A 14,337-nucleotide genomic window follows, 5' to 3' on the forward strand; every position below is an offset into this window, starting at 1 on the left:
ACGCTGTGGTGGGAGATCTGCTGCTCTATTCAGAGGTACCAGGCAGGGACGTTTAAATCTGCTGAAGCTGCACCCCCAACTGTTCCTTCCCCCAGGTGCTCTGTCACAAGGAGGTGGGGGTTTTATCTATAAGTCCCTGACTGGAACTGCTGCCTTTTTTTCAGAGATGCCCTGTGCAGAGAGGAGGGGATCTGGAGAGGCAGGTTGGCCACAGTGGCCTTGCTGAGCTGCGGTGGGCTCCACCCAGTTCGAACTTTCCAGCAGCTTTGTTTACACTGTAAGGGTAAAACTGCCTACTTAAGCCTCAGCAATGGCATATGCCACTCCCCCCACCAAGCTCCAGGGTCCCAGGTCAAGCTCAGAGTGGTGTGCTAGCAGCAAGAATTTCAAGCCAGTAGATCTTAGCTTGCTGGGCTCCATGGGGTTGGGACCCGCCGAGCCAGACCGGTTGGCCCCCTGGCTTCAGCCTCCTTTCCAAGGGAGTGAATGGTTTTGTCTGGCTGGACTTCTGAGTGCCACTGAGGCATGAAAAAAAAACAACTTTTGTGGCTAGCTTGGTGTCTGCCCAAACGGCCACCCAGTTTTGTGCTAGAAACCCAGGGCCCTGGTGGCATGGGCACTGGAGTGAATCTCCTGGTCTGCGGGTTGTGAAGACCATGGGAAAAGTGCAGTGTCTGTGCTGGAGTGCATGGTATAGTCCCTAATGGCTTCCCTTGGCTAGGAGAGGGAGTTCCCTGACACCTTGCACTTTCTTGGTGAGGTGACACCCCTACCCTGCTTTGGCTGACCCTCCTTGGGCTGCACCCACTATCCAACCAGTCCCAGTGAGATGAACCTGGTACCTCAGTTTGAAATGCAGAAATCACCCATCTTCTGCATCGATCTCGCTGGGAGCTGCAGACTGGAACTGCTCCTATTCCACCATCTTGCCAGCTTCCCACTTTTTTTTATCTTCACTGTCTTTACTTTTAGTCCACTTGTGGTTTGGGGAGGGTCGGGTGGGCACAGGCACATCATTAGGGAGAACATGCTTACTTTTCCTAAGAAAATTAGATGGATCCTGGCTGACCCCTGAAGTGCATAATCAGAATCCCCCTCCTCTTTCTGCCCTCCCTATTGCCATAGGTGGCTGATTACCTCTTTTTCTTGGTGTCCGGTTTCTCCCCATTTTTCATCTCTCCTCCCATTTCCAGAGTCCTTCCCTCCCTTGGCCTTATGTACTAGGGACTTGATGGCCCCTTGAAGTGTGCTGATGATATTCAGAGGGCAAGATTTTGCCTGTACCTTTGTTCTCTTTTGCTCCTGCAAGGCTACTTGTGGATCAGAGCCCTTGATCCCACTCAGAAAGGACCCCATCAATGAGAAGCTTTTCAGTGGTGTGTCCTTTCACCCGGACGTCACTCATATCTCTTTGTCACTTGTTGTGTATGTCACCACGCAGTGATACACCCCTGAACTAGATCTTTCAGGACAGCTTTGGTGACACGAAGCTGCCACTTGTTGTTGTTCTTTTTCTCCTCTTTCTTTCTTCTTCTTCTTCCTTTTTCCTTTCACTTTCAGCTCTCTGCGGGACAAATGTTCTATCGAGACTGCTTCTTCTGCTCATTGGTGATGGGTGTGTCCCCTTGCAGCACCAGGCCTGGAAGGAGGCTTCACTTTCATTTTTAAAGAAGCAGAGATGAAAGTCACCAGTTCAGTTTCTCTGGTGAACAATGAGAACACTTGGACACAGGGTGGGGAACATCACACACCGGGGCCTGTCTTGCTGTGAGGGGAGGGGGAGGGATAGCATTAGAGATATACCTAATGTGAATGATGAGTTAATGGGTGCAGAACACCAACATGGCACATGTATACATATGTAACAAACCTGCACATTGTGCACATGTACCCTAGAACTTAAAGTATATATATAAAACACCACCCAGGAGTTACTTTTAAGTGAAATGTCATCGTGAATTCATGGATTTCCCAGTACCTCTTGGCTCGCTGTTTGTCCCCATTCTTTTTGTGGACTCTGTAAATGTCCAATCCTGAGCCAGTGGGAGCCTTGGCAAGTTGTGTCCTGTTGCCTTTCTTTCCAGCCCAGCCATGTGAACACAACAGCGATCCACATTTCAGTGTGTACAGGCAGGCTGTCTCTGCCACGTGCCCATTTTCCCACTCTCACTCACACAGGCAGATGCCCACAGACCACAGACACACCCACACACGCACTCAGAAGGGACTCCACACCCCAAAACATAATCACAAACACACAAGCAGAGAAACACACAAGAAACTTGACACGGGCACAAGGGTGTGGGCCCAAGTGTTCCCCCACACAGACATGTACGCACATGCACCCCCACAGGCATAACACTGCCCACAAACTCTCCCATACAGGCTCTGAATCACCACTTGCGATGGGCATGCTTTTTTGTCTCCAGGCCTGGGTCATCATGCCATTGATTGGGTAACTTGGGCGTTCCTTTGAGAATGAATGCAGGAAGTCTGTTATCAGATAGGCCCCAGCAGTTGGTGTGAAACTGGAGCTTTCTTGGTCAAACTGCTTAAAAACTTACACTCGGAAAGGATCCCATCATCACAAAGCTTCTTGGTTGTGTGTTTTTTCACGGGGATGTCACTGGTGTCTCTTTGCCACTCCCGTTCATTGTCATTGCTTCTTCTCAGTCTGATTCTTTTGTCTTTTTTTTTGTTTTTCATTTTTTATTTTCACTGCTTTACATTATTTTTAACATAATTGGTATCAGTTTCAGTTTTTTTCTTTTGTGTTTTTCAATTTGTTCTTTTACTTTTTTATTTAGTACTTTCAGATTGTAATTGATTTTTGCATTTTCTTTCTATCAATTTTTCTGGACCGAAGGTAGTCATTTTAGGTGGTGAATTTTTCTTCTTCCCAGTGGTGGATTCATAGTGATATCTTATCTTCTTTTAATTTCATGGTTTTTGAGTCTTTTTTTATTGAGTTGTTTTTGAGTGGTTATTGAATGGCTTTATTGAATGTTATATGAAATATTTTTTCTCCATTTATTTTACTCTGTAACTTTTTTTTTTCGTGGCTTATCAGGGCATTTAAGAAACAGTTTTATTAAAGTTGATTATATATCAATTAGGGATTATTAAGTCATTATTTTAAGAAGATCATTTCTCTTTTGCATCATATGTTTTAATTTTCTTTTGCTTATTGTTTAAGTGACCCAAGTTATGAACCACATTTTTTTTTTTTTTTCTGAGAGGGAGTCTCGCTCTGTTGTCTAGGCTGGTGTGCAGTGGTGTGACCTTGACTCATTGCAACCTCCACCTCCCAGGTTCAACCGATTCTTCTGCCTCAGGCTCCTGAGCAGCTAGGACTACAGGTGCATGCCACCATGCCCAGCTGATTTTTTGGTACTTTTAGTAGAGATGGTGTTTCACCATGTTGGCCCGGATGGCCTCCATCTCTTGACCTCGTGATCTGCTCACCTCGGCCTCCCAAAGTGCTGGGATTACAGACCTGAGCCACCATACCTGGTGAACCACATCTTCTCTTCCGCTGTTCACCTTAGACTCTTGATCATATTTTGGGGTATTTCTTTTTTTTTTTAATTTGATCAAATGTGATAGTAAGAAATGTCATATTTTATGTGTCATTAATAGCTAATAGAGAATATATTTTTGGAATATATATTTAACCTTTACTTCATTCTATAATGCTTTTTACATTTCTGTCATATCTTATACACAATTTTTACTACACTGAGAAATTTATTCTTAAAGTAGTGATAAATCAACTCATTTTAATATAAATTCATGATTTTATAGACTATATGACTTGGCTTAAATAGATCTTTCTGAGAAATCAGGAAAATTTGAAAGCCATCAATAAATTATTTACTCTTTGATAATGAAAATATTTTAATAAAAATGCTAAAAACACTTAATTTTAAACCAAAATACAGTATAGTATCTGGTAAAGAGATTTAAACCTATGTTGCAAAGATGATTAAAATGATTCATACGCAATGACCCTTTATAGAGATTCATTTAAATTAAAATTTATTTTTCTACATCAAAATGAGGAGATCATCATGACTAAGAAATTTTGGATTACTAAATTCTTAAAAAATTGTCCACTTTTAAAATTCTATTAAGGTACAATAAATCAAACATATACTATGTTTTCTTTATCATTTATAGAAATTTAAAGTATGATAACAGGTATTTCTTGTTGAGGTGATTAGCTTGTCTCTCATACATTGGTGTTTGGAGAATTGTTTACTGAAACATTTGAAATGGTAATCCACAAATTGTTTAACTTTTTTATTATACCATCTGAGAATATGTTTGCATATTTGTGAAAACAATTGGAAACTGTCTCAGTTATGTTCATTTTGAGAATTACTATGTTTTGGTGGACACATTTGCTGGAATTTTGTGCAGATATTTTTAAAATATTTAAGTTTATGTGGTTACTATGAGATATTATTAAATAAATAAAACATGTTCGGAGTAATGTGTATAATACAAACTCATTTTTTGTAACAACAAACAGAAAGAGTTACATGTTGGTAAGTATATGTGTCTTTGATTGGTTATGGAAAAAATTATTAGGCATTTATTCCATACTTTTAACATCTTTTAACCTCCACAGATTTAGAATTGTTTTTCTGGAAGAAATTGTTAATCTTCTCTTTTATACATTTCATGTTGTTTTCCTCATTTTAATGCCTTCGTATTATATTTCTAAATATAATTTTCTTTTATAAAACATGCAAATTTTATACGAAGAAAAACAGCATAAGTAAACTTAAAGACTATTTATATACAATGTGGTTCCATTTAAAAGATAGATAATGGATGCCATTAATTCATAGAATATATAATACATTTCTTTATGTTAATACAGAAACAAAGCCTGATAGAAATATAGTCAAAGAACAGGCAATTCATAGGAGACAAAAATATATGGCCAATAATAATAATAAATATAGTTGACTTTAATATTAGGTCATCATATTTGCCACAATCAAAAAAGTCTCCAGAATTCTCAGTTTTAGAAAGGATTTGGTTAAATATCTACTGTCTATAAAATTGTACGTTTCTAAAGTATTTTATCTCTATCGTAATTTTAATGTTTGTAAGTTTTGACTTGTGTTTTATTTGTAGAATATATGGAAATAATTCTACATATCAATAAATTGGCTTGCTTGTAGTAAAAATGTTGCAAGCATATTAAATATCTTTCAACAGAATTTGAACATCTTTCAACAGTTAAAATTATACTGTAACACGATGCAATATTTTGAAGCCATTGAAATATTGAGACTGATCTATTTTTATATTAAAAATTATTAAGACATTTATAAGTGAATAAAAACAAATTGCCGAAGTGTATGCTAGGATGATCTAATTTATATTATAAACTCCAAATCTAAATTATTATATTATTATAAATACTATATATGTGTACATTTAAATAGAAATAAAAAGGTCTAGACAGAATTGATAACTATGTTTTCTTCTGTAAATAGGAGAAAGACTGAGGAATGGTAAAAGTTTAGCAGTAAGAAGAATTATGTCTATGTTGTTTGAATTATATACAGTTAGATTGTATTCATGTATTTATTCATGTATTATTTGTGTAAATAAATAAATAAATATAAAATTTCCAAGGAATATAGGAGTTTGTCAAGGGGCTATGAGGGAACAATGAGGCTGATTGATTAGTTTTGGAAGCCTAATAAAACAAGAGTAATAGCGGTAGACATCCCTGTACTTTTTGGGGGAGAAATATGCCTAAGATAATAGAAACATCTGGTCCACCTAACAGATAAATTATTTTGCATTCAAATACATTAGATACCAAAAAGATGCAGGTTATTGACATTGTATGCCTTTGATTTAATATTTATTAAGCACTCATCTAATAATTTTGCATTCTCTTTAACTTGCTTAATAGGGAAATTGGGGTGTTTTCTGCTCAACAGACATATCTGACCTGTATGATAATGGAATTTCTCATTATAAGTCAATAAACTTTTGTTCTTTCTGTATCTTTCAGTCTTATGATGTAATCAGCGCGATTTCACTTCCTGAATTTCGATGAATTCTAAGACATGGGCAAGATCGGGTTGTAAGACCTCTGAGATTTAAGGCCATGCCCTGGATCATGGTGAACTTACCAAAGCAAACAATGCCTGTGAGATGGTCCTGCAGCAGCCAACCAGTGAACTCTTTTGGTGACATCCTGTTCTTGTTGTATAACTTTATATTCCTATAAATCCATTAAGGCCCCAATAAAGTTTGTCTCTAAGCGCTGTGTTAGATCTATATGACTACATCTAGTAAATTGTGAATTTTAAGTAAATATTTTATAAGAACTCCTATGTAAAGCATTACTAAAATTAGTGTTGAAATATGACCTTCTTCCTACATTTATTCATTTATTTATGTCTATTTATTCATTTATTTTAGTGAAAAATATAAGGAAAGTAGAGGAAGGTTAAATCCAAAAAAGAATTGTTTCCAGTACACTTTCTTTAATTTGCTGTCAGTTTTTGCATGGAATCTACATCTTTTTATGCTAATCCTCATCCTAGTATTTTACATCTTAACTATTTTTTTCTGACTGAAATGGTTGATGTGCTTGTTTTTTGTAATTTTCTACTTTCCTTCTAAAATGCTTAGTATTGAACAAATAGAATATCCTAATTAAAAACAGTAATAAATATTATGGTGAAAAAATACAAGTAAAATGGGAAAACATTAGATAGCAGCTTTCAATATTTCATATAGTTCATAAATGTTTCAGGAATTACAAGGTTATAGAAAAAAATTTATAGACTATAATAATTTCCAGGGATATAAAAAAATAAAGCTTCTACCTTTGAATTGTAATAATAAAAGATAAACAGACTTGAAAGCATATATTATATCTGAAAATGTCAGATAAACTTGGCTTATAAATTAAAATATAAAATAATAATACAATTTGTTCAAATAAGTAATTAAAGCTTACATTGTAAAATGAATATTTAGAGAGATTGTGAAACCTGAGTATTTTACCCAATCCTCTGAAATTAGTCCCTAGCATCAGAATTAAAGAATCTGAAAAATCACAAATGGAGGTATGGTGACATTTATGTATATTCTAGAGTTATGTTATGCACACTTAATAAATTATAGACAGTTATTTTAAAGATTGTATAATATTACTAATCACACATTAGAGTTTTAAAACTTCTGAGCCAGGCTGAACATCACAAACAGTAAACACAGACTTCTTTAAAAGGACATCTGGTGAAAGGCATTTTATGCATCAGAAGGCACAGTATTATAAAGATGACAACACTCTTCAAAATAATCAAACTATTCAATGCAACCCTTATCAAAATTAAGGTTGCCTACTTTGAAGAAATTTATAACCTGATTCTAAAGTTCATATGAAAATGTAATGGACCCAGAATAGCCAAAACAATCTTGAAGTATACAAAGTTTGAAGAGTCACATTTCCAAATTTTAAAACTTATTACAAAGCTACAATAAACAAGTCTATGTGGTACTGGCATAGGATATAAATATTGATCAATGAAATAGAATCCAAAGTCCAGACATAAGCCCTCACAAAAGTTAATTTGCAGCCAATTAACTTCTGAGAAGGAGGCAAGACAAAAGGGGAAATAACTATTTTCAATAAATGGTACTGGGACAACTTGGTATCTACATGCAAAAAAAAAACAAAAAAACAAAAAACTTCCACCCCTACCTCATGCAAAATACAAAAATTAACTCAAAATAGGCCAAAGACTCAAATATAAGGGTTACACTATAAAACTCTTGGGAGGAAATATAGAATAAATTTTTGTGACCTTGAATTAAGTATTAGATTTTTAATTCTTACACCAAAGCACAAGTTAATAAAGGAAAAAAAAGATAAACTGGACATAATTAAAATTGAAAAAAAATTTGCTTCAGTGAACACAGTCAAGAAATTTGAAAGACAGCCACAGTGCAAGATTATTTTTGCAAATAATATGTCTCATAAATGACTTGTATCTAAAATATATAAGACCAGGCATGGTGGCTCATCCTGTAATCCCAGCACTTTGGGAGGCTGAGGCAGGGGGATCACTTGAGGTCAGGAGTTTGACACCAGCCTGGCCAACATGATGAAACCCCATCTTTACTAAAAATACACACACAAAAAAAATTAGCAGGGTGTGGTGGTGTATGCCTGTAATCTTAGCTACTCAGGAGGCTGAGGTGGGAGGATAGCTTGAACCTGGGAGGCAGAGGTTGCAGTGAGCCAAAATTGCACCAATGCACACTCCAGCCTAAGCAACAGGGCAAGACGCCATCTCAAAAAATAAAACAAAATAATAAAATAAAATAAACAGTAATTACCGCTAAATAATAAAACAAACAATAAACCAATTTTATAACGAAAGGATCTGAATAGATTCTTCTGTAAAGAAGACATACAAATCACAAATTACACATGAGAAGATGCTCAACACTATTAGTCATCAGGGAAATGCAAATCAAAATCACAAAGAGACAGCAATTTATACCCAGTAGGATACTTATTATTATTATTATTTTAAATAGCAAAATAATAAATGTTAGAATGTGGGAAAACAGGAACATGCGGCATTGTTGCTGGTAATGATAAATGTGCAGCCACTGGGCAAACAATTTTGTGGTTCCTCTCTAAGTTAAAAATAATGGCTGGGCGTGGTGGCTCACACCTGTAATCCCAGCACTTTGGGAGGCTGAGGTGGATGGATCACCTGAGGTCAGGAATTCGAGACTAGCCTGACCAACATGGTGAAACCCCATCTCTACTAAAAAATATAAAAAATTAGCCCAGCTACTCAGGAGGCTGACGCAGGAGAATCCCTTGAACCTGGGAGGCAGAGGTTGCAGTGAGCCGAGATCCCACCACTGCACTCCAGCCTGGGCATGACAGAGCAAGACTCCATCTCAAAAAAAAGAAAAAAAAAAGAAATAACATGCTACCCAGCAATTTTACTCCTGATACATAGCCAAAATAACTAAAAAACAGGTGTTCAAACAAAAATTGTACAGGACGGTTTACAGCAGAAATATTTGTACTAGGAAAATGTGGAAACAACTCAAATGCCCATCAACTGGTGAATGGAAAACAAAATGTATATTCACACAATGGAATATTAATTTAGTCATATACAGGAAATAAGTATACATACTGCCAGAATAAACCTTGAAAGCATTATGCCAAAAAAAAAAAAAAGGAAAATAATTCTTGCCTGGTGGTCTGGGAAAAGCAAAAGCATTATGCTATGTGAAAAAAGCCAGTCACACAGTACCATATATTATATAATTTCATATAAATAAAATGTCCACATGAGGCAAGTCTATAGGTTCAGAAAAAATATTTGCTTAAGGATGGAGTTTCCCTTAAGTTATGATTGAGAATTGATGTCTAAGGACTGTGTGATTTTATTCAGGGTTAATGAAAATGCATAAGAATTGACTGTAGTGATATTTACACATATCTATGCTTATCTATAAATATCCAAAACCATTGAATTGTACACTTTAAATCACGGATTGTATTATATGTGCATATCTCAAGTTGTTTAAAACAATAGATGTCTGGCTAGCACCTCCCAAGGCAGCCTCTCCCAACTTTTATTTTATTTTTTTGAGACGGAGTTTCACTCTTGTTGCCCAGGCTGGAGTGCAATAGTGCAATCTTGGCTCACTGTAACCTCCACCTCCCAGGTTCAAGGAATTCTCCTGCCTCAGCCTCCCGAGTAGCTGGGATTACAGGCATGCACCACCACACCCAGCTAATTTTGTATTTTTGGTAGAGACAGGGTTTCTCCATGTTGAGGCTGGTCTCGAACTCCTGACCTCAGGTGATCCGCCCGCCCCTTGGCCTCCGAAAGTGCCGGGATTACAGGCGTGAACCACCATGCCTGGCCAGCCTCTCCCAACTTATTAAATTCCTATGCAGCAAGATGGCAAAATGGAATTCTTCAGCACTCATAACCTTGCAGAAGTATCCATTTGAACAACTATTCATGCGCAAAATTACCTTTACAAGGCCTAAAGAAACCAAGTGAGAGATTACAGCACCTGGGTGTAGCAAATAAAGAAAGATGCATTTAAGAGTGGAGAAAGGGCAGATCATTTGAGGTCAGGAGTTTGAGACCAGCCTGGCCAACATGATGAAACCCTGTTTCTACTAAAAATACAAAAATTAGCCGGATGTGGCAGCAGGCACTTGTAATCCCAGCTACTTGGGAGGCTGAGGCAGGAGATTCGCTTGAATCTGGGAGGCGGAGTTTGCAGTGAGACAAGATTGCGCCACGCACTCCAGCCTGAGCGACAGAGCAAGACTCCATTTCCAAAGGGGAAAAAATAATAGAGTGGAAAAAGGACAGTTTTACATTATGCACATCACCCCTCCCCCAACTCTAAGTAGCACAGCATGGAGAAAGATACACATCTATGAGGGGAAGAAGAAAAAGCTTAGTACTGGACTTCCTCAAACCCCCAAACTGGGCCCATTCCAGTAAAACCTTGCACCAGAGAGGCCCCCTTAGCCCCAGGTTCCAGGCTGGTACATGCAGACTGAACTTCCAGGCCTACCTTGGCACTAGGTAGGATCCTGCAGACCCAGGCTCTAGGCCTGCACAATAGACTTGGATTCCAAAACTGCCCCAGCACCAGGTTGGCTCCAGTGGCCCCAGGCTTCAAACTGGTACCAGCACCAGACTTCAGGCCTGTCCCAGTGCCAGATTAACACACTGGCATCAAACACCAGGTGGGGACCCATGAAGATATGGTCAATGCCTTCCCAGTGCCAGGCTGGTCTCATGGTCCCACCTTTCAGCTAACCCAGGGTCTAGGCCCTCCCAAATAGACCTCAGTGCTGGGCAGGCCCTCATAGACTTAGACTCCAGAGTTGTCCATGTGTACCCATATACAAGGCCAGTATCCAAGACCCCAGGACCTAGGCCAGACTTTGCTGTCTTAGAATCTAGGCCAGCAACTGTATACTCAGCCTCAAGGCTGACATCAGTGAACACGACTCCAAGCTTGTTCCCATATTCCCAGGCTTCAGGCCAGCCCAGTGGGCTCCAGGCTCCAGACTAGCCCCTGCAGACCCAGGCTCCACACTAGACTTAACAGTAGGCCAGCCTCAGGCTCCAGGCTGGTCCCTGTGGGCTTACACTTCAGAGAACTCAGAGTCCAGGCCTGTTTCAGCAGACTCAGTGTTCAGGCTTATTCCTGTATACTCTGGTATCAGACCATACCCCTTGGACTGAAGTTCCAAGAACACCCCTGTAGACTCAGAATCCAGGTCAGCTTCTGTGGATCCAAGATCCAGAGCCACTCCTTCATCCTTAGGTTACTGGCTGGCCCAGTGTCAGTCCAGTTTCTGTGGACTCAGACTTCAGACTCATCCTAGTGGAAACAGATGCCAAAGTGCCTGGCCAGCTCCTGCAGACTCAGGGTCAAGTCTCATCCCAGCTCCAGGTCAGACCCTGTGGACTTAGGCTTGAGGTTGGCCATCATAGATACAGGCTCTAGGCCTGCCCTCATGGACCCAGGCTTCAGATTCATCCCTGCAAACCTCACCCTTGTTGAAGTCTAGTCCATTGGGTCCAAGTGTCAGACCCAATACCACAGGCACAGACACTATACTCAGCTGCCTGCTGACCCAGATACCAGACCTACATGCCTGAGGACTCTGCAAGCAAGCTCACCCTCAAACCTTGCCAGATGGCATGCTCAGAATCCCTGGATAGGCTGACTGCTGAAGGGTTTTACCTGATAAAGCCAGTCTGCAAGGACTGGAATAAGCCCTTACTTCAGATGTGTAGAAATAAACATATGGCAGTAAGAAATAGGAAAAGCCAGGGAGACATAACATCACCACAATAATACAATTTCTCATTAGCTGAAACAAACAAACAAAAAAAATAGAGATATATGAACTGCATGACAAAGAGTTCAAAATAATTAATTTTAAGGAAGCTCAGCAAATTTCAAAAAACTACAGATAATTCAATAAAATCAGAAGATAAATGATCAGAATGAGAAATTTAACAGAGAGATTGAAATTATTTTTAAAAGCCCACAAATTCTGTGGCTGAAAAATACAATGAATTAAGTGAAAAATGCAATAAAGCGCATGAACAGCAGAATTTATGAAGCAGAAGAAAGGATCTAGGAATTTAGATGACAGGTTATTTGAAAATATACAGTCAGAAAAAAAAAGAAATTAAGAAAGTTTACAGATTTTACAGGGCAACATCAAAAGAAGAAGTCTTCATGTGATATGATTTAAAGGAGCAGAGAAGGACAAAGTAGAAATTTTATTTAAAGAAATAATAGTGAAAGCTTTTCAAATCTGTGAAAAGAAATAAATATCCAAAAACAAGAAGGTGAAAAGTCTCCAATGAGATTCAGTCTAAAGAGGACTAATTCATATTATATTCAATCTGTTACAAATTATGGACAAAGACAGGATGTTGGAAGCAGCAAGAGGAAGAAACGAATAACATAGAAGGGAGTTTCAATAAGGCTAGAAGTGGATCTTTCAGCAGAGGCTTTACAGGCCAGGAGAGAGTGGAATGATATATGCTAAGTACTAAAAACAAAACTTAACCAAGAATATTTTAACCAGCAAAGCTGTCCTTTGGAAATAAAGAAGAGATAAAGACATTCTCATATTAACAAAGCTTAAGGAGTTCATTGCCACCAGATCTATCTTACAAGAAATGCTAAAGGGAGTTCTTCAATCTGAAAGAAATATATGCCAATTATTAACACAAAAACATATGAAAATATAAACATATTAATCCCTTCCCCATAAAGAGAGATAAACTCACTGCTGAGTGTTGTTTACTTTTCTTCTGATATCCTCTAACTTAAATACTATAATGTGAATCACACTGATTACATCACAAGACTGAAAGACACAGAAAGAGAACAAAAGTTTATTGACTTATAATGAGAAATTCCATTATCATACAGGTCAGCTATGTCTGTTGAGCAGAAAACACCCTGCTTTCCCTATTAAGCACCTTAAAGAGAATGCAAAATTATTAGATGAGTGTTTAGGAAAATGTGGCACATATACACCATGGAATACTATGCAGCCATAAAAAAGGATGAGTTCATTGTCCTTTGTAGGGACATGGATGAAGCTGGAAACCATCATTCTGAGCAAACTATCACAGGGACAGAAAACCAAACACCGCATGTTCTCACTCATAGGTGGGAATTGAACAATGAGAACACTTGGACACAGGGCAGGGAACATCACACACCAGGGCCTGTCATGGGGTGGGGGCATGAGGGAGGGATAGCATTAGGAGAAATATCTAATGTAAATGACGAGTTAATGGGTGCAGCAAACCAACACGGCACATGTATACATATGTAACAAACCTGCACGTTGTGCACATGTACCCTAGAACTTAAAGTAGAATAATAATTAAAAAAAACAAGCTCACATACTGATATAAAGTCAATACATCTTTTGTTACATTATAAAGGAATAAGAGAGGAAATGAAACAAAGATATTTGCTTAATAAATGTATATTATACATAATATACATATACATATATATAATCTTAATTTTAACACATAGAAAAGAAATACTCATGACAATTATGGTCTTTTTTTCCTTAATTGGTCATGTGGTCATAGCTGGTATTTTGAACAACCTATTTCTACAACCCATTCTGTATTCTCTTTGCTTGCAGCAAGCACCTCAGCCAAATGTAATTCCTTACCTGCTGGTGTGATCCAAACCTTCATTCCTGAAGGGTTTCGGCCATTTGTTGTTCTGCCTGGATTGGGTCATTGTAGTTTTCCATTGACCCTTAATCATAGGGTGTGGTAATATTAAGAGACTCCCTAGAAGATCTTCTGTATTCCATAAATACTCTTTCTTACCTCCACTGGGGTACGGTAGTCTACCTTCTCCTTGGTAGTTTGGACCAATTACATAGGTCACTAGGCAATTTGCCACTTTCTTGGTTGCAGGAGGAATCAGATGCAACAACTTATTATTTGCCTTAGGAAGGACATCTTGGCATGCCCCACACCACATAACCCCTAGAAATTTTAAAGAGGTTGAAGTCTCCTGAATTTTAGTTGGATTTATTTTCTACCTTCTGAAATGCAAATGTCTTAGCAATAAGTGCAAAGTATTTGTTACTTTTTGCTCATTAAGTCCAATCAGAAAATGTCTTCGATGTAATAGGTCTGTGAAATATCTTGTGGAAGAGAAAAACAATCAAGGTCCCTTTAAACTAAATTATGATGTAGTGCTATAGAGTTAAGACAC

The 14,337-nt window shown here is 38.1% G+C and overlaps 1 protein-coding gene across 1 annotated transcript in view, besides 2 other annotated features; it reads left to right on the forward strand.

Moving 5' to 3' along the window:
• Window positions 1–7,903, forward strand: part of NBDY (negative regulator of P-body association) — an 89,937-nt gene extending 82,034 nt beyond the window's left edge. Inside the window, exon 3 of the mRNA NM_001348129.2 lies at window positions 6,044–7,903. The gene's annotated coding sequence lies outside the window, so the exon portion shown is untranslated. The remainder of the gene's footprint in view (window positions 1–6,043) is intronic.
• Window positions 1,304–1,843: an enhancer, noted in NCBI's record as "active region_29700". NCBI's record gives its function as "activates an Ori minimal core promoter by ATAC-STARR-seq in GM12878 lymphoblastoid cells {active_cell/tissue: GM12878}" and the evidence as "EXISTENCE:reporter gene assay evidence [ECO:0000049][PMID:35858748]".
• Window positions 8,880–9,174: a silencer, noted in NCBI's record as "tiled region #15663; HepG2 Repressive non-DNase unmatched - State 24:Quies, and K562 Repressive non-DNase unmatched - State 24:Quies". NCBI's record gives its function as "represses a minimal TATA promoter and a strong SV40 promoter by Sharpr-MPRA in HepG2 and K562 cells {active_cell/tissue: HepG2 | K562}" and the evidence as "EXISTENCE:reporter gene assay evidence [ECO:0000049][PMID:27701403]".

The sequence above is a fragment of the Homo sapiens genome, chromosome X (assembly GCF_000001405.40).
Source record: "Homo sapiens chromosome X, GRCh38.p14 Primary Assembly".
Lineage (NCBI taxonomy): Eukaryota > Metazoa > Chordata > Mammalia > Primates > Hominidae > Homo > Homo sapiens.